Source organism: Homo sapiens, chromosome 7 (assembly GCF_000001405.40).
Source record: "Homo sapiens chromosome 7, GRCh38.p14 Primary Assembly".
Taxonomy (NCBI): Eukaryota; Metazoa; Chordata; class Mammalia; order Primates; family Hominidae; genus Homo; species Homo sapiens.
In genome coordinates, this window is record NC_000007.14 from 17,423,027 (window position 1) to 17,442,129 (window position 19,103).

Genomic DNA, 19,103 nt, shown 5'->3' on the forward strand with positions numbered 1-19,103 from the left:
GGCTGAAGCAGATCTATTGTTCTGACTGGCCCTTACAGCCACATAAATTCTGAAATTCTTTCTTTCCTTCCTGCCCAAATTAAAGATTTGGAAGTAGAGTTGAAAGCAAAACTTCAGAATGTCAAACCCACAAAAATGTTATGGTTTTGGGGTATTTAATCTTCTTAGACTATTAAAAAGATCTGAGTGGGTATTTGTTTTTATTTGGGACTAACGTCAGCTTCCAAACCAGAAAAATGCATCAAGAAGTTTCACAGCTGCTTCAAATAAATTTTGGCTTAAAGAACAAAAGTTTTAAATCAGGTATTAAAAAAAAGTGATAAAGCATTATATACAATTATTTCCTACCACAGAAATTTTGGAAAGCTGCATAAAGAATCCAATTTTGATCCTTAAAAATTATTTTTATCAATTCCTGTCTTTCAAGAAAGATGATAAAATGTAGTCACTTCCTGCACAATCTTGGCTCACTGCAACTTCCACCTCCCAGGTTCAAGCGATTTTCCTGCCTCAGCCTCCCGAGTAGCTGCGATTTATGGGCGTGTGCCACCAAACTTGGCTTTTTTTTGTATTTTTATTAGAGACAGGGTTTCACCATGTTGGCCAGGCTGTTCTCGAACTCCGGATCTCAGGTGATCTGCCTGCCTCAGCCTCCCAAAGTGCCGGGATTACAGGCGTGAATCACCACGCTTGGCCAAATTTAGTCACTTGTTTCAGCTGAGAGAAACTTCCAGTCTAATCTTTCTTCTGCCTCCACCTCCCTCCCCAGTTCACCCTTCTGTGCATGCATAGCTATATGCTCTCTTCTCTTCCTCCTACTTTAAAATAATTCCAAAGAATTTGGCTTCAAGAAAATTATGTCCCGGCTAGTCTCCAGTAAGAGTCACAGAATCATTTATTATGCACTAGATGCCCTAATTATAGAACAAATGATTTTACAGTTTAAGTGTATAAAATAGAGATATATCTTGATGTTAGAACCATTTTGTATACTGTTTTACATCAATTGGCTCACCAAACCTCCTGTAAATATAGACAAAAATGAAGAGCAAACTTCATTGGGATGTTAAAATTTTTGAAATGAGAATTCTTTGTTTTATCTCGAGAGTACAGGGTCACACACATAGTTAATAAACAATAAATAAGGAAGGAATGAAACCCCCCGTACTGATGATGGATATGTGACATCTTCACATGACTTACTCGTGAGGATTAGCTACAAACACTGGGTCTTCCCTTTTTTAATTTCCTTACAGATTGTGGACCACACAAATGAAAGAGGTTGGCAACTGCTAAGTTTGCTATTCTGTAATTAGGTTATTAATCCTAAAGTTTTTTCTCTATGAGGAAAATTAAAGGCTGACTGTTTTTTTTTGTTTTTAAAAATATAACTAAGTTCTAGCCAGGCATGGTGGCTCACATCTATAATCTCAGCACTATGGGAGGCCGAGGCAGAAGGATTGCTTGAGTTCAGGGGTTTAAGACCAGCCTGGGTAACATAGCAAGACCTCATCTCTATTAAAAAAGAAATACACACACAGTTCTATATTTACTCTCCACCTCTCAACAGGGTATGTTTTACAGTTAGTATCACATTTGGCCACCCTGTCAATGCTGTTGCTATTCACTCAGGAGAAAGTATATGCCTACGTCAATTTTTCCTGGGGCTGATACATTTCTGTTATTTTTCCTTCCACTGAAAAAAGCCATTATTAGTGTTACTTCTTTGCCCACTGAATATGGCAGACACTTGGACTGGTTGATCAACCTGTATTTCCAAATCCATTCCTCCCCCGTCTGCCTCTACCACAGTGTAATAAAACTCACTTTTCCAGACTATCTTTAAGCTTTGAGCGATTATGTGACACAGTCCTGGCTAGTGAGATGCAAAGCTGACTGGCAGCTGCTAATGCTTTCTGTTCCCTCTCCTCCTCCTTCCTGCCTAGCTCATGGATGGTGAAGCAGCCATCTTGCAAATACGGAGATTAAAACTACATGCTAAGGATGGCAGCATAGAAAGATGTAACAAGCCTAAGATATTAGCCACATTGTAGAATCACTGCACCAGAATGGAGGACCTATCTGAACTTTTTCCAATTTTTAAAATAGTGGTAATATACACATAACATAAAATTTACCATTTTGACCATTTTAAGTGTACATGGTATTAACTACATTCATATTGTTGTACAACCATCACCACCATCCATCACATCTCTATAAGTCTCTTCATCTTGTAATACTGAACCTCTGTACCCATTGAACAACAACTCTGCATTCCCCTTTCCTCCAGCCCCTGGGAACCACCATTCTACTTTCTGTCTCTGATTTCTGACTGCTCTAACTACCTCAGCTAAATGGAGTCATACAGTATTTACCTTTTTGTGATTAGCCTATTCATTTAGCATAATGTCTCCAAGGTTCATCCATGTTGTTGCATATGTCAGAATTTTTTTCTTTTTATGGCTAGATGATATCCCGTTGTATTTATGTGCCACATTTTGTATATTTATTCACCTACTCATGGACACTTGGATTGCTTCCACATTTCAGCTGTTGTGAATAATGCTGCTATGAATATAGATATACAAATATCTCTTTGAGAGCATGCTTTCTATTCTTTTAGGTATATACCCAGAAATGGAAGTACTGGATCATATAATAATTCTATTTTTAATTTTTTGAGGAACTGCCATATTGTTTTCCACAATAGCGGTATCATTTTATATTCCTACCAATACTAACAAGGGTTTCAGTTTATCTACATCCTAGCCAATATTTGTTACTTTCTGCTTGTTTGGTGTTTTTAAAGTAAATCTTAGTTATTCTAATGCATGTGAGGTATCTCATTGTGGTTTTGACTTGCATTTCCCTAGTTATTGGTGATAGTCAGCATCTTTTCATGTGCTTACTGGCCATTTGTCTTGTATTTTGACAAATGTCTGTTGAGGTCTTTGCTCATTTTTGAATTGGGTTGTTTTTTGTTGTTGAGTTTAGGAGTTACGGATATTAATACCTTATCAGATATGTGATTTGCAAACAAACATTTTCCAGCATTCTATATGCCATGGTCTAAATGTGTCCTCCCCAAAATTCATTTGTTGAAACTTAATAGCCAATGTGATAGTATTAAGAGGTGGGCCTTTTGAACAGTGATTAAGTCATGAGGACTCTTCCCTTGTGGATGAGATTAAGTCCTTTATGAAAATGCTGGAGGGAGCAATCCCATTACTAGGTATATACCCAAAGGATTATAAATCATTCTACTATAAAAACACATGCACACATATGTTTATTGCAGCACTATTTACAATAGCAAAGACTTGAAACCAACCCAAATGCTCATCAATGATAGACTGGATAAAGAAAATGTGGCACATATACCCCATGGAATACTATGCAGCCATAAAAAAGGATGAGTTCATGTCCTTTTCAGGGACATGGATGAAGCTGGAAACTGTCATACTCAGCAAACTAACACAGGAAGAGAAAACCAAACACTGCATGTTCTCACTCATAAGTGGGAGTTACACAATGAAAACACATGGACACAGGGAGGGGACATCACACACTGGGGTTTGTCGGGGGGGTAGGGAGCTAGTGAAGGGATAGCATTAGGAGAAATACCTAATGTAGATGACAGGTTGATGGGTGCAACAAACCACCATGGCACGTGTATACCTATGTAACAAACCTGCACATTCTGCACATGTATCCCAGAACTTAAAAGTATGAAAAAAAAGAACAGAATAATCTCTACCTATAAGATGTATTTGCCTTTTGAATCTTGTAATCTTATGAATCCATTATGAATCTTGCATTATTAATCTTGTAATCTTGTAAGATTCATAATGGAAATCCAACTTATACATCTAAGATTAGTATTCATTGGAACAATGTGGAAGTATGTATGGGATGTGATCACAAAGCAACATTAGTAGTTCAGATTTGTATCAATCAACTAGTCAACACTATGGATATAGTCCACCTACCGCTTTTGAACCCATCCATTCTCTATTACTATTCATTTTTATCCTTCATTCTTTCTCACATGCTTTGGCCAGTGACTTGCTAAAATCCAAACACTGTGTCTATAGAATTTTTCTATCTACGAATTTAGTCACCCTAAACAACAGCAATGTGTTGTCTCTTATGGGTTGTTTTCAGTGCTTTAACCATGCTGTTTCTCAGTTAACTGCTTGCTGAAAGTGTGTTTGTTTGTATATTCTGGAATCTGCTGGCCACTGATAAAATGGGCTTAAGTCTGACAGTGTGAATGGGTTTCATCTTTTTTATGCAGTGTTTCACCATTAACATAATACATTCCTATATGTTATAAATGAAATTCATTGAATTTGAATCATATAATTTTTACAGGAGATTACTAATTGCTATGTAATCTGAGTACGTTATGATTCCAAGGTGGAAACAGGGTTTGGATGGCTTAGGTGCCTTCCTTTTACTGGTTGTCACACACTCTTACCACGAATGAGTGGGAAGAGAATAGCTTCAGAGCCACAGGTCAGTTGAACTTGCCTGTTACTACCTGAATGACTTTAAGCTATTACTTAATACTATGAGTATTCCTTTCTTACTTTTGTTCAGATACGAATATAGTGTGTATCTTGAAGGACTTGAGATATCTATATCTATATATCAAGGTTATATATAATATATATATATATCTTATGAAGTCCTTCAAGATACACACTATTTGAACAAAATACACACACACACACACACACACAAACACATACCTCTTATATATCAAAAATATAATGAATGGCAGTTTACTTCTACGACATTCTTTCCAAAGTTTCTTTCAGTCCAGTTTCAATAGTTTCTTATTGTTAACAAAGGAAAAAAAGAAAAAAGGAGCTACTCGCTTTGCAATCCCCCCCTTTCCACTGCCTTACAAATGAAAAATGGAAAGTACCTCTGACTGGTTCCCTCCCACAACCAATCAGACTGGTTGTTGGCCAGGTTTTCATTTACATAGGGTGTAACCAAGTAACCAATGGGAAACCTCTAAAGGGTATTTAAACCCTAGAAAATTCTGTAACCAGGGCTCTTGAGCTGTTTGCTCAAGCCCACTTCCACTCTGTGGAGTGTACTTTTGTTTCAATAAATCTGTGCTTTTGTTTTGCTTCAAAAATAAAAAATGCTGGAGAGAAATTGCTAGCCCCTTTTTGCCCCTTCATCTCTTCTGCCATGTGAAAACACTAACATGGCACCATCTAGGGGAAACATGCCCTTACCAGACACCAAACCTGTCAGCACCTTGATCTTGGACTTCTCAGCCTCCAGAACCATAAGAAGTAAATTTCTATTGTTACTCAGGCTCAGGTATTTTTGTTATAGCAGCACAAATGACCTGAGACACCATAGGTTGCCTTTTCACTCTGTTGATAGTGGCCTTCCATGCACAAGGTTTTTAAGTTGGCTGGGCGTGGTGGCTCATGCCTGTAATCCCAGCACTTAGGAAGCTGAGGTGGGCAGATTATTTGAGCCCAGGAGCTGAAATCCAGACTGGGCCACATGGCAAAACTACTTCTCTACAAAAGATACAGAAAAGTTAGCCAGGCTTGGTGGCATGCACGTATAGTCCCAGCTACTCTGGAGGCAAAGGTAGGAGATCACTTGAGCCTAGGAGGTTGAGGCTACAGTAAGCTGAGATCACACAACTGTACCCCAGCCTGGGTGACAGAGTGAGACTCTGATTTGAAAAAAAAAAACCAAGTTTTTAAGTTTCATGAAGTTCAATTTGTCTATTCTTTTTTTTGTTGTCTGTGCCTTTGGTGCCATATCACATCTTGCCAAATCCAGTGTCGTAAAGCTTTTGCCCTATGTTTTAACTAAGAATCATACTTTTAGCCTTTATTTTTAGGTCTTTAATTCATTTTAATTTTTTATATGGTGCTAGGTAAGGGTTCAACTTTATTTTCTTGCATGTTGATATCCAGTTTTCCTAGTACCATTTGTTGAAAAGATTGTCCTTTTCCCACTGAGTGTTCTTAGCATCCCTTTGAAAATTATTTGGTCATATGTGTGAGGGATTATTTCTGGGCTCTCTATTCTGTTCCATTGGTGTATATGTGTGTCTTTATGCCAGTGCCACACTGTTTGGATTACTGTAGCTTTGTATTAAATTTTAAATTCAAAAAGTTCAAGTCTCCCACATTTGTTCTTTTTCAAGATTTTGTCTGAACATTTAAGAAAAAAAAAAAGTCCTTCCTTATAGTTTTGGTTTTATATTATCTGCTGCTGAACACAATCCTGACACATTGGTATGATGTATTTTTGGTATTGAGCTCAACAATATGAGAAATTCCAAAAAACAAAGTTACAATTGAGTTCTGCCTCTCTAATATGTAAGACAATAATTTATCAAGATTAATTTGAGATCATTTTGTGAGAAAGGGAATTTTTCCTTTTTTGTTAAATGTAGGTACCAGAAAATTGATGATAATTTATATTCAATACCTGAGGGACTTCTAACCTCAGAGCTTTATTGAGAATGACTGAATTAGATTTTCATATCTGCTTCTGCATTTAATATGCTGTGATATGTTATTTTGGTTGACGTATACATAGAAAATCTCACCTCATACACAAAAGAGGTGGAAAAGAGCTTCTCAAAAGTTAGTTGCAGCGTGGAATCTGAAACTGTATCAGTGAACTTTTCATACTCTGCAACATTAAAAACAATCAGTCTCTCTTTCCACTTCAAATGGATCTTTTACCTCTGAATGATTTTGTAACATCACAGACTGGTCATTTGGAAAAGATTGGCTCAATAAGTTAGGTAGTTCTTCCAAACATTGATCCATCCCATCATGTAATGTTGAAAGAAAATCATAGGGTTTTTCATTTTGTTTTTGTTTTTGGAGATAGGGTCTTGCTCTGTCACCCAGGCTGAAGTGTGGTGGCACGATCTTGGCTCAATGCAGCGTTAACCACCCAGGCTTAAATGATCCTCCCACCCCAGCCTCCCGAGTAACTGGGACTAAAGACAAACACCACCATGCTCGGCTATTTTTTTAGAGATGAGATCTTGCTATGTTGCCCAGACTGGAAAAATCATGTTAATAATAACAAAATTGATTTTATCGGAAAAGCCTTTAAATATTAGGAAACTATTAAGCTCATGGCAATGGATACCAGTTTCCCAAAATCCTAATTGTTACCAGAAAGCTCAGATTTTTATCACCAACAACAGAGACTGCCAGTTGACCCCCTTGGAGTAACAGGCTCACTTTGATCATTTTCAAGAAAATTTCTGTCAAATATTAGATCTGAAGAACGATAGCTTCCTGTCATTCATCATTTCAAGGAAGAGTGGTGCTCAAGTAACAATGGTTACCCATGCTCTAAAAAAGTGACAGTTCAGCCCACATTAATCAACAGCACAGGTGCTTGTCCTTAAGACAACCATGGTACTTGGTATGCTTTAGCTTCATTTCCTATTGTGGCATAGAGAATTTTTAAAACACATATATTCAAGGGCAGAGATTCAATGGTAATTTTTCACTGTTTCATAAGGACATTCTGAAGTAATTATTTTAATTTTTAAATTTTTTATTTATTTTAACAGTGAGTATGTGATAGCAAAGAATACAGTGATAACTAGTCAAGTTTGGTGCCACTATCTTGATTCATGCTAAGGCACCAACAGTCTTACCCTCTATTGCTTTGGCACCATCACTGCAAACGTCAACACAATGAAAAAGGCAAATAATGTTTTAGCATTATTATGAAAATAGTTTTGACTCTATGGGCCACCAAGGGTTCACAACACATTTTGAGTAGCACTACCATATGGAATACCAAACTGACCAACAATTAAACCAAAAATACACAATATATCAAGTAAAGCTATTACCTAAGAAATCCAAGTCATTGAACAATCAGCATTAAGTGTCACTGGTTCATGAAACATGAACTCCTTTGCTGAGGTAATTGTACTTGTATTCCAAAAACAAGTCATCACATTAATATTTGTTATTTGCTTTTTCCTCTGATATAAGTAATGCATACTGACACTTGGAAAACTATGTAGGCAAAAAATTAGCTCTCTCTCACCACCCCCCCAGAATTAACTGTTTTTGATAATTGACATGCTTTGTTAATACTGTAAGCTTTCAACCTATCATTTAAAATTCTATCAAAACATAACGTTTGGTGGCTGTAAAATAGTCTGCTTTGAAGTTAAACAATTTTCCAACTACTTCTCTAGGGTCAGGTTATTTCCAATGTTTTGTTATAGGCATTGCTGTGAACATTTAATATAGATACATATTCTGGTCATTATTAGGTGTTGTCAGACCTTTTAATTTTAGTTATGTTCTGGTTTGTGTAGTAATAGTTGATTGTGGCTTAAATTACATTTCCTTGATAAATAATCTTTGGCAATTTTTCATGTGCTTATTTGCCACTCTTATATCTTCTTTTATGAATACTGTTAATAATTATTGTATCCTTTCCTCATATCTTTTTAACAGTTGCTTTCTGAAAAATTTGATTTTGTTGTATATGCCATTTTGCGTATGCTGACTCACTATAGAACTAATAAATGTAGCTCATGGGAAATAGAGAAAAATATGAAGAAAACATAATAGTCCCTCATAATCTTACCACTAAGAGGTTACCACTGCCAACCCTTTAGTTTATTTTTTTTTCAGTCTTTGCCAAATGCAATTTTCCATAATCAATATTATAGATTCATTTAGTGAACTACTTTTGTTTCAATACCACTGATGAGCATTTCTGTGCATTGTTAAATACTCTTTCCATATCACCCTTTCTTCTTCCTACACCATCCACAGGAAACTAAAGTTTAGATTGGGGAAAATCAATACAAGATAATAAATAATACAATACTATGATATATAAGGTAGTAAATATATAAATATATAAGTAAATATATAAATTTACTGCAGAACTGTAGTAAATTTAGAGGGCACTATAGAAGGTCAATTGGAGCTAGAGTTAAGAAAGAGCAATGAGAGGAAAAGACAGCAGGTGTGAGCCAGTGACCCATGTGAGCAGCCGCACCAAGGCAGAAGTGAGCAGGGCTATGGTGGGACCATTTGGGTTTGCACGAATATTTGGCAAGGAGAGCAGTGTGTTTGGTTCAGATTAAAAGTGGGAGTCGACAGATATTAGAGGTCCTTAAAGGTTGGCAAATGAGCTGCTGCTCTCTGCAGAACTGAAATATATTTAGAATTACATAGAACTTAATGGTGTACAGGAGAAACGCCTGCTTAACTACAAAACTCTTATTTATGATGGAAAAATAAAAACACCATATGCATACTGCCATTCCCAGAAAATACTGTGAAAATATTGCCTTGTTGTGGCTACAAATTGTGTAACCCCACCTTTGGTGAATGACATATATTTTCTAATTTTATGCTAATAATATGATAGAGACACAATTATCTCAGATTTTAAAACTGATAAAGTCTAGGTGGGTTGAGCCATCTGCCTGCAATCACCTCATGTCCCATAAATCATAGGAAGGAGTTCAAACTCAGACCTGATTTCATGCTTGTTCTTTATCTAAAGGATGGTTCTCAACCCTGGATACACATTAAAATCAGCCGCAGAGCTTTTAAAACTTTCAATGCCCACATTTCCATCCACTATTCTGAATTTCTGATTAATTAATCTGAAGCGGGGGTCTAATCTCGATGTTTTTAAATGTTCTCCCCCAGTAATTATCATGTGCATTCATATTTAAAAACCGCTGTTAGAGACCACACTGCTCAGCCAGCATGGACCTTGGTGTTCCTCAGATTGTTATGAAAACTGTCAGGGCTTTTTCTCCAGAACTTACCTAGTTTTGAATTAATAATTTGGTTAATTTCTTGAGCACAGGTTAAACTTCCCATTGAAATGTATTTTCAAGAAATGTACACGTGATATGTTTTCTGGTTCTTTCATATGTGAGAATGTCTTTTTCACTTCTTTACACAAGGAAAACCGAGTAAATATGTACTTTGGAGGAGCAATATTTACTCAAATGTTATAGATATTTTCTACTCTCTTCTGGAATTTATTGTTGCAGAAGGCAAATCTTATGCAAACCTTTTTTTCCTTTTTAAATTAACTCGTGTACTTTATTTTTTTTTTTTTTTTTTTACCATTTTAGAGCTATCATCTCTTTATCATTGATTTTTCTTATGAGTTCTGAGACAGCATCTGATATTTAAACTCTAATTCGATGATAGACATTGTCAATTCCTTCACTGATTTCAATAAAGACTCTAATACTCCTATATTTTCAATTTCTTGAAATGTCTTTAACTCGCCTAACAAGCTTCTTAATTCATCCTTGTACCTTCTGGCTCTTGTTTCATGTAATTCATATTCTTTTGGTTATGTCAGATAGTATAAAAATACTTTTTTATATTCTTGGGATAGTAATCACGTTCCCATATTCTGAAATATAGTTTCCTTTGTTGTTTTCCTCCTCCTTTATTCTTAATCAAACAAGTTCTGTTTAGATTGTCAATGATGGGCATGTGGATTTCCATTCATGACATTTGGTATCTGTGGGACTCCAGCTATAAATAGCTAAAAGGCCAATGAGCATACATTCTAAATTCTAGTCCAATTCTTAGTTTGTAAGAATTCATATTGTTTTGATTGAATATGTCAAGTAGTATCCTTGTACGGATATTGTCTGTATTGAGATGATTTGGGATATTTTCCTTCAAGATTATGATTTCTGAAAAGAGTTAATAAATATAAACTTATAATGCCCAATTAGCACTGCTGCAAAGGCTTCTGTGTCTTGGCCTCAGCCTACAACATTTTTATTTTTAAGGTCTGTATCTCCATGATGCAATGTAATAATGTATTCTCTTTTTTCACCCTTCCTCAAATTGCCAAGTTAAGTATAGAATGCCCAGTTAAGTTTGAATCTCAGATAAATGACAAATAATTTGTTAGTGTGAGTATGTCCCAAATACTTACGGGCACACTCACACTAACAAATTATTTGTAGTCCTCTTTTAAGACTTGGGACATACTTATATTAAAAATTACTTGTAGTTTGTATGAAATTCAAGTTCAACTGGGCATCCTTGTATTTTTATTTGCTAAATCTGACAATCATAAGTTTCTCTACATTCCTTTCAAGTTGTTTTCTGGGAGCCTCAGTTTCTAATTTGTATAGAAGGAGATGTTTTAGTGGGAGTGAGTGTATGTGAGGAGGGTTTGGTAACACAGAAGTCTCCCGGATCACTTCACAAGGCGGTACACCTGTGCAGAACAGTGATAGCTGCACAGTTTTGTCTTGGTATAATTCTGGTGTTCTTGAGTCAGAGGACAAATGGTTTGGGGATTCCTCTAGTTTCTTCCAGCTGGACAGCTTGTTCTGTGGCAAGGACTTGGCATTTGTGGGTCTTGGCTGCATTTTTCAATCCAAGTGTATCCATCTTGCTCTTGGATATAAGAGTTCCCAGATTCTGAAAATTGTAGTTTGAGGTGGCTTTTGTTAATTTTAAACGTTTTGCATGAGAAACTGGGAAAGGCTGACTGACTCTGAGGCTTTTAGCCAGAAGTTATTGGAAACTCGACTCCTGGCACTATTTGTGTGTGCTTGGACTACAACTTCTGAAGCATTGTCAGAGGCCCAAAATGAAAGGGGCAATCGTTATTTTTGGCCAAATGAATCCTGCCAAAACGGGATCAACTGAGATGTCTAAATCTACTTTTACAACAGCAAGGCATATTCTTTGGGAAAAGGCCATGGAGTTGCTGGATGCAGGATTGTCACCTAAGGATGTATTTCAAGTGATGCTGTAGCTTTTGAGCTTTTGCGTGTCTACAGATGTATGTTGGAATGCCTCAGGGTTGTTGGACCCAGTGTTGGTTTTTCCCAGTAAGGGACAGATTGTTGAAGGTCTACTCACCTCTTGCCTGTTTTACAGCCACTTGATACAACAGAGGCATTTTTAACAAGAATTCCTTCTTTTATGCTCCTCTGAGTAAATGGTCAATCATGCCATCCCTCACACCACTTAGCATTGCACTTAGATACAGGACCATCTGCTGCTGGTTGTTTGGCAATCTTCAGAGCATGTAAAAACAGGCAAAGTACAAGAAAACATCATCAGAATTGGTCTTGACACTCTTAGTTCAACCAGTTCCCAGCTACCAGCTCTTCTTAAATAAGTCATGCATTTAGCTCAGTTCAAAGCATAAGGTTATAGATCTTGCTTTTGTGTAAATGTGCAAATGCTTCATGCTGTGTTTTATCTTCCCAAACACAAGCCACCCCACCTGCTTTGCCTGTTTGATTTCTTCCAGCTGGTTTCCCATTTGTCTTAATTTACTCCCAAGGTTTTTGCCTTATTGACTTATCAAGGAAGCCTAGTCATTTATTTTACAAAGATTATCTCTTTATGGCTGTACAATTTGATGAGCAGAACACACATTTGGTGTTAATTATATTTACTTGGGTTTAGTAGAACAAGATGATGGATTTTTTTATAAACTCCCTAAGAGACGGGGACCGCCGAGGAACTCATGTGGAAAGAGTCCTTTCTTCCGCTACTGTTCATCAGAGGTGTTGAGACAAGCTGGGATGATGCCACACAACCTGCAACGTGCAACCCCAAAAGTTCTTTTTGAACTTCTTACACTGTTGACAAGCTGTTGTGGGAAAGCAAACCTCTGGAGGAGAACTGCTAGACAAAAAGGTGTTCATTTGAAATCCAGAAATGGGAGGATTAAAGAGTTTTGACCTGGATCCTGTGTAGCTGAACTTTCTCTTGTTCCAGGCCCACCCCATTTTGTTTTGTCCCATTCCAAATGGGTTCATTGTGTTTGAGTGGAAATATACTCTGCTGGGCAAGGAGGGAGAGCTGGAAAATTTCTAATACATTAGTGACTTGTACCCCAGAACTTCATTTTTCTTGACCTGTAAGATAAGGTCAGTAAGTGTTTAGCTGGGGACTAAACAGCTGAAAGAAAGAGATCTCAAACTACAATGCTCTTAAAAAGACAGTGGCTTAAATTAGAGGTTTGTTTCTTCTCATGTCATTGTTTTGAGGTGGGCGTTTCAAGCTGGTTGGGGGGCTCTGAATCTCTAAGCTATTCAAGAGCACAGTTTCTTTCCATCTTGCCATGGGGTCATACTTGAGGCCATTTTTCACACATGCAAGGGCAAAGCCGGGTCTTGGCAAATTCAGCCAGCCTGCAAGAAGGATGAAAAGAAGTCCAGGATGAGCAGTTGTTTTTCAATAAGTTTCACACACAGGAGCTTTTGTTCTTTCCCTCAGATCCCATTAGTGAGAACTTAGTCACGTGACTGTCACCACATGGGAAGCTGAGAAACATAGTCTTGAATAGGGAAGACATGCCCAGGAAAAAAGGGAGAATGGAATTTTGAGGACAAATAGCTATTAACCAGAAATATCAATATCAATAGTTGTAAAAGTCAAATAAGATAATAAGTGCTAAGCACCTGCTGATGTAGAGTATTACTGAGGACGTAATACTCAATAAAAAGCTTTTACCTGCCCTCATTTATATTCTTCTTTAGAGATTGAAAATTATTAGAAGAAGAGGAGGGGCAATTAGAAACATGATGCACAGCTCTAAATACAGACAGGAGAGGAATGGGAAGAACTGAGCTGGGTCTGATATCATTTGAAATTTAAATAACTTTCATTCCTGAATGATTTAATTAACTGGTTACACAGTGGAGGCTGAGTACAAAACAATTCTCCTAAAGAGCCTCTCTAAAAACATAACAGGAGTCATCCATTTTTAGTTATAGGACCATGAATTGTCTTATAAATAAACTTTCCAACATAGTTCTTTGGAAATTATAGGTGTTACATAATTGCTAGCTCAATATTTATTGTTCAACCATATTCAACATTGAAAGTCCTAAGATAAAAAGCTTAAGTGTGGATTAGACTCTGGCTGGAGCTTTGTCCATTGAAAAAATTCATATGTGAATTTCTGAGTAAGGCACTATCCCAAGTACTTTGATTTCTTTTTCTGTAACTTTGGAACAATCCAAGGATTTGGATGGTACAAGCTCAATAATACATGTGAAATGTCTAAGTCATACAAAGTCCATTTAAAACTTTTAAAGTATTACTATGCTTTAAGGTCAGAAAAAATAAAAATTAGGGTGTTTGGCAAAAACAAAGTTTTGTGGAAAGTAAAATACATAATAGACTTCTATTTTAATAACTGTGCTTAAATAAACTAATCCCCTTTGTTATAACACAAAACTCTTTAATTCTTTGACAAAATATATACATACTTATATGACTTGAAGGATATATATTGAGATTATTTCTGGTTGATGTATTTATGAAGGGCTATTATTTTCTTATTTGTTTTTCTAATATTCTCTTTCCCCAAGAAAATTAATGTGGGGAATTGGAGGGCAGAAGGAACAAGACTTGATATAATCATGCATTTTAATAGATCTTCTAACTACAAATGTTCCAAAAGGCTTTTCATATTGTCTGGAATCACAACAATCCAATATCCCCACTAGGTGACCAAGGAAAGGAGGGTTGGGATGATGTTGGGTGTTTTTTCAAATGTAAATCTATTATGTATGGCTCCCCAAGATAGTTGTGGGAACAAAATTGGAACATGTAACGCATCCATTAAAGGCCTCAAAACTCATGAAATTCATTGTTCATAGAAACATAATGAGTGCAAAAGACTGACATTTCCTTTGCCATTGTTTCTTTCTTTAATGCTCCCTAGTGCCCCATATTCCTACAGGAAACAGCTCCCCATTCCTTCCTCTTAATGGACATCAAAAGGCTTAGAAGCTATTTGTACATACACCATATGTGCATTGTAGAGACTGAAATCAAATCTTATTTCAAGTTCCCAAGTGGGAATTATGGAGGGGACTTGTCAGGGTTACTCCAGGAAATGAAGGTGAAGGTTATCACATTTATTTTCCATATCCAGAAAAATCTCATGTAGCCTATCTCCAATAAGAGATTTGTCTTTCAAAGTTAACTCTATATTTCCCAGAGAGAGTTCATTATGTTTCTTCAAATGCCTTCACACTACAGGAACTTGAGGGTGGAAGAGGAGGATGGAAATTAGCAGGTATAAATGAAAAACATTTATTCATGTAGTCCTACTTCAAATAGTGTTGCTATTCTAATCTGGGATTCTGGCCTCACTCTTTACCATAGCATTTGTTCTTTTCTAAATCTCATTTTCTCATTTTCCCTAAGTTGGTAGCAAAAACAAATTTGGCCATACAAAGCTCAATAGTAATACTGGCTCACAAGTAGAAAAATGTGTATCTTCTTGTCCTTTATATGGTTTCATTTACCTATGTGGGGGGTGTGTGGAAAGAGTGGGGTAGAGGGATTCTAATAAGTCTACAACTTTATTTATTCTACCTTGTTTGAGAAGTCGTTCTTTAAGACTTTAGGTGAAAAGTGTTTGATATCCTCTTTCTGCTTACTTGTCTATGACTCAAAAATATAGTAAGGGAAGAGAAATGTGTATTCCTGGTAATTCTGTCTGTGAGGTCCATTTGAATCCATATTTATGGGGGTTCACTGGTGACAAGAAAGTTTGATCCTGATGAAATCAAATCTAACTAAGAAATCTCAATGTTTTTGGTCAATGTAAGTAAATTTATGTCATTGTTTTCCAAAGTGTATTTCATAAAACACTAGTTCAGAGGCATTATTAATAGGTATCACACAAAAACTAGCTAGTCTCATTTTTTCAGATGTCCAAGAATTACTTGTGAACATACTCCAGTAAGTAAAATATGAATCCAGATAAGAGAGATAAAAACAAGAAAAAATGTTGAGTGAGAAACCAGTAAAACTAATAACCTTCTTAATTGTTAAGAGGCCATGCAGCCTAATGCCTGAGTTTAAGAAAGGATCTTTTAGAAAGGAGGGTGTATTAGTCTGGACTCATGTTGATAATAAAGACATACCCAAGACTGGGTAACTTATAAAGGAAAGAGGTTTAATTGACTCACAATTCCACATGGCTGAGGGGGCCCCACAATCATGGCAGAAGGCAAATGAGGAGCAAAGTCATATCTTACATGGCTGCAGGCAAGAGAGCATGGGCAGGGGAACTCCCTTTTACAAAACCATCAGCTCTAGCAAGACTTATTCACTATCATGAGAACAGCACAGGAAAACCCCACCCCTGTGATTCAATTACCTCCTGCTGGGTTCCTCCCATGACATGGGGGGATTATTACAATTCAAGGTGAGATTTTGGTGGGGACACAAAGCCAAATCATATCATTCCACCCCTGGCCCCTTCCAAATCTCATGTCCTCACATTTCAAAACCAATAGTGCCTTACCAACAGTCCCCCAAATTCTTAATTCATTTCAGCATTAACTCAAAGGTCCATAGTCCAAAATCTTATCTAAGACAAGGCAAGTTCCTTCCGCCTATGAGCCTATAAAATCAAAAGCAAGTTAGTTATTTGCTAGATACAATGGGGGTAAAGGCATTAGATAAATATAGCTGTTCCAAATAGGAGAAATTGGCCAAAACAAAGGGGTTACAGGCCCCATGCAGGTCTGAAATTCCTGCAGGGCAGTCAAATCTTAAACCTCCAAAATGATCTCCTTTGACTCCATGTCTCACATCCAGGTCACAATGATGCAAGAGGTGGGTTCCGACGGCCTTGGGCAGCTCCGCCCCTATGGATTTGCAAGGTACAGTTCCCTTCCCAGGTGTTTTCACAGGCTGGTGTTGCCTGAGGCTTTTCCAGACACACAGCACAAGCTGTCAGTTGATCTACCATTTTGGTGTCTGGAGGACAGTGGCCCCTCTTCTCACAGCTCCACTGGGCAGTACCCCAGTGGGGACTCTGTGTAGGGGCTCCAACCCCACATTTCCCTTTTGTACCGCCCTAGCAGAGGATCTCCATGAGGGCTCCGTGCCTGCAGTAAACTTTTTCCTGGATATCCAGGTGTTTTCATATATCTTCTGAAATCTAGGCAGAGGTTCCCAAACCTCAATTATTGACTTCTGTGTACTCATAGGCTCAATACCATGTGGAAGCTGCCAAGACTTGGGGCTTGCACCCTCCAAAAGCATGGCCTGAACTGTACCTTGGCCCCTTTTAGCCACAGCTGGAGCAGCTGGGAGGCAGGGCACTAAGTCCCTATGCTCACACAGCAGGGAGGCCATGGGCCTGGTGCAGGAAACCATCCCCCACCCCCACCCCCTGCCCGTGGGCCTGTGATGGGAGGGGCTGCCACAAAGGTCTCTGACATACCCTGGAAACATTTTCCCCATTGTCTTGGTGATTAACATTCAGCTCCTTGTTACTTATGCAAAGTTCTGCAGCAGGCTTGAATTTCTCCCCAGAAAATGGGTTTTTCTTTTCTATCGCATTGTCAGGCTGCAAATTTTCCAAGCTTTTATGCTCTGTTTCCGCTTGAATGCTTTGCCACTTAGAAATTTCTTGTGCCAGATACCCTAAATCATCTCTCTCAAGTTCAAAGTTCCACAGATCTCCAGGGCAGGGGCAAAATGCCTCCAATCTCTTTGGATAGGGAAGAATGACCTTTGCTCTAGTTCCCAACAAGTTCCTCATTTCCATCTGAGAGCACTTCAGCCTGAACTTTATTGTCCATATCACTACCAGCATTTTGGTCAAAGCCATTCAACAAGTCTCTAGGAAGTTCCAAACTTTCCAAAATCTTCCTGTCTTCTGAGCCCTACAGTCTCTAGAAAATTCCAAACTTTCCCACATTTTCCTTTCTTCTCCTGAGCCCTCCAAACTGTTCCAACCTCTGCCTGTTACCCAGTTCCAAAGTCAGTTCCAGATTTTCAGGTAATTTTATAGCAGCACCCCACTCTACCAGTACCAATTTACTGTATTAGTCCATGCTCACACTGCTAATACATACCTGAGACTGGGTAATTTTTAAAGGAAAGAGGTTTAACTGACTCACAGTTCCACTGGGGAAGCCTCATAATCATGGCAGAAAGCAAAGGAGGAGCAAAGTCACGTCTTACATGGCAGCAGGCAAGAACGCATGTGGAGGGGAACTCCCTTTTATAAAATCATCAGATCTCGTGAGATTTATTCACTATTATGAGAACAGCACAGGAAATACCCGCCCCCATGATTTAATTACCTCCCACCAAGTCCCTTCCATGACACGTGGGGATTATTACAATTCAAGGTGAGATTTGGGTGGGGACACAGAGACAAACCATATCAAAGGGTATACAGGAACTTATTCTAGTACAGGATATAATCAGTAGCCTCTGTCTAGAAAAGGAAATGCAAACCAAAAACCTGTGAGTCTCCTTAGATTTAAGTATAAAACAATCTTGTGCGGGAATCTTCTCTAGAATGAAAATGAGACCTGGAACCTGGGAATCAGGCCCCAATTAGGAGAGAGGTTGCTGCCAGGTCACTATGGAGTCATCTATGAGCTATGAATATGCAAAATCATGCAGACTGTTTGGAAAATTGAAGTCATTTTATATACTATCTGTAATTTAAAGAATTACTTCATTGTGCCTGATTTTCTAGAGATGGGATTATTACTTTGTAGGGTGGGTAGAATTTCTATTGTCTTTTTGGAACTACAGACTTAAGATAATACAGCCATCACAGTGGATTTCCTAGACCACAGTTCTCTTAGAGGCAGTGAGTCCCAGAGAGCAAGAAGAGCACATGTCTTGATCTTGGCTGCCTGAGAATCCTATAGAAGCTTATCATCCTTCTCCATTCCAAGACACACACAAAGCCCTATAGGAAATATCAAGATTGTTGTCTTTGGATGGTGACATTTCCTCTTTGGTTTTGTGTTTTTTGTGTTTTGTTTTTTTTTTTTTCTGAAAGGGTGAAAATGATGCCTTACTTTTTATATTAATAAGAACTCATGAAATACATGTATATTGTAAAAAATATAATTTACTACCAATACATCAAGGAAAGTGACCAAAAAGAGTTTTACTCTAGAAATGTTTGAAATGTAAATTGAAGACACTTAGCTAATTTTTTAGTGGTAACTTTGATAAAATAGGCTTAGGCATGGTTCAGACATGTTAAGATATTTTAAGAAATGTGGTTTAAAACATGCAACTTTT

At 37.6% G+C, this 19,103-nt stretch overlaps 2 long non-coding RNA genes across 3 annotated transcripts in view; one reads left to right on the forward strand and one right to left on the reverse strand.

Annotated features, from left to right (window-relative positions):
• LINC02888 (long intergenic non-protein coding RNA 2888) overlaps positions 1-19,103 on the forward strand; it is a 92,340-nt gene that overhangs the window by 48,110 nt on the left and 25,127 nt on the right. The gene's annotated exons all lie outside the window — the stretch shown is intronic.
• The window catches only part of LOC105375172 (uncharacterized), a 32,552-nt gene continuing 21,009 nt past the window's right edge, over positions 7,561-19,103 (reverse strand). Inside the window, exons 5-6 of the long non-coding RNA XR_001745108.1 lie at positions 11,922-13,207; positions 7,561-11,474 (exon numbers count right to left, since the gene is read on the reverse strand). This is a non-coding gene — a long non-coding RNA (uncharacterized LOC105375172). The remainder of the gene's footprint in view (positions 11,475-11,921; positions 13,208-19,103) is intronic.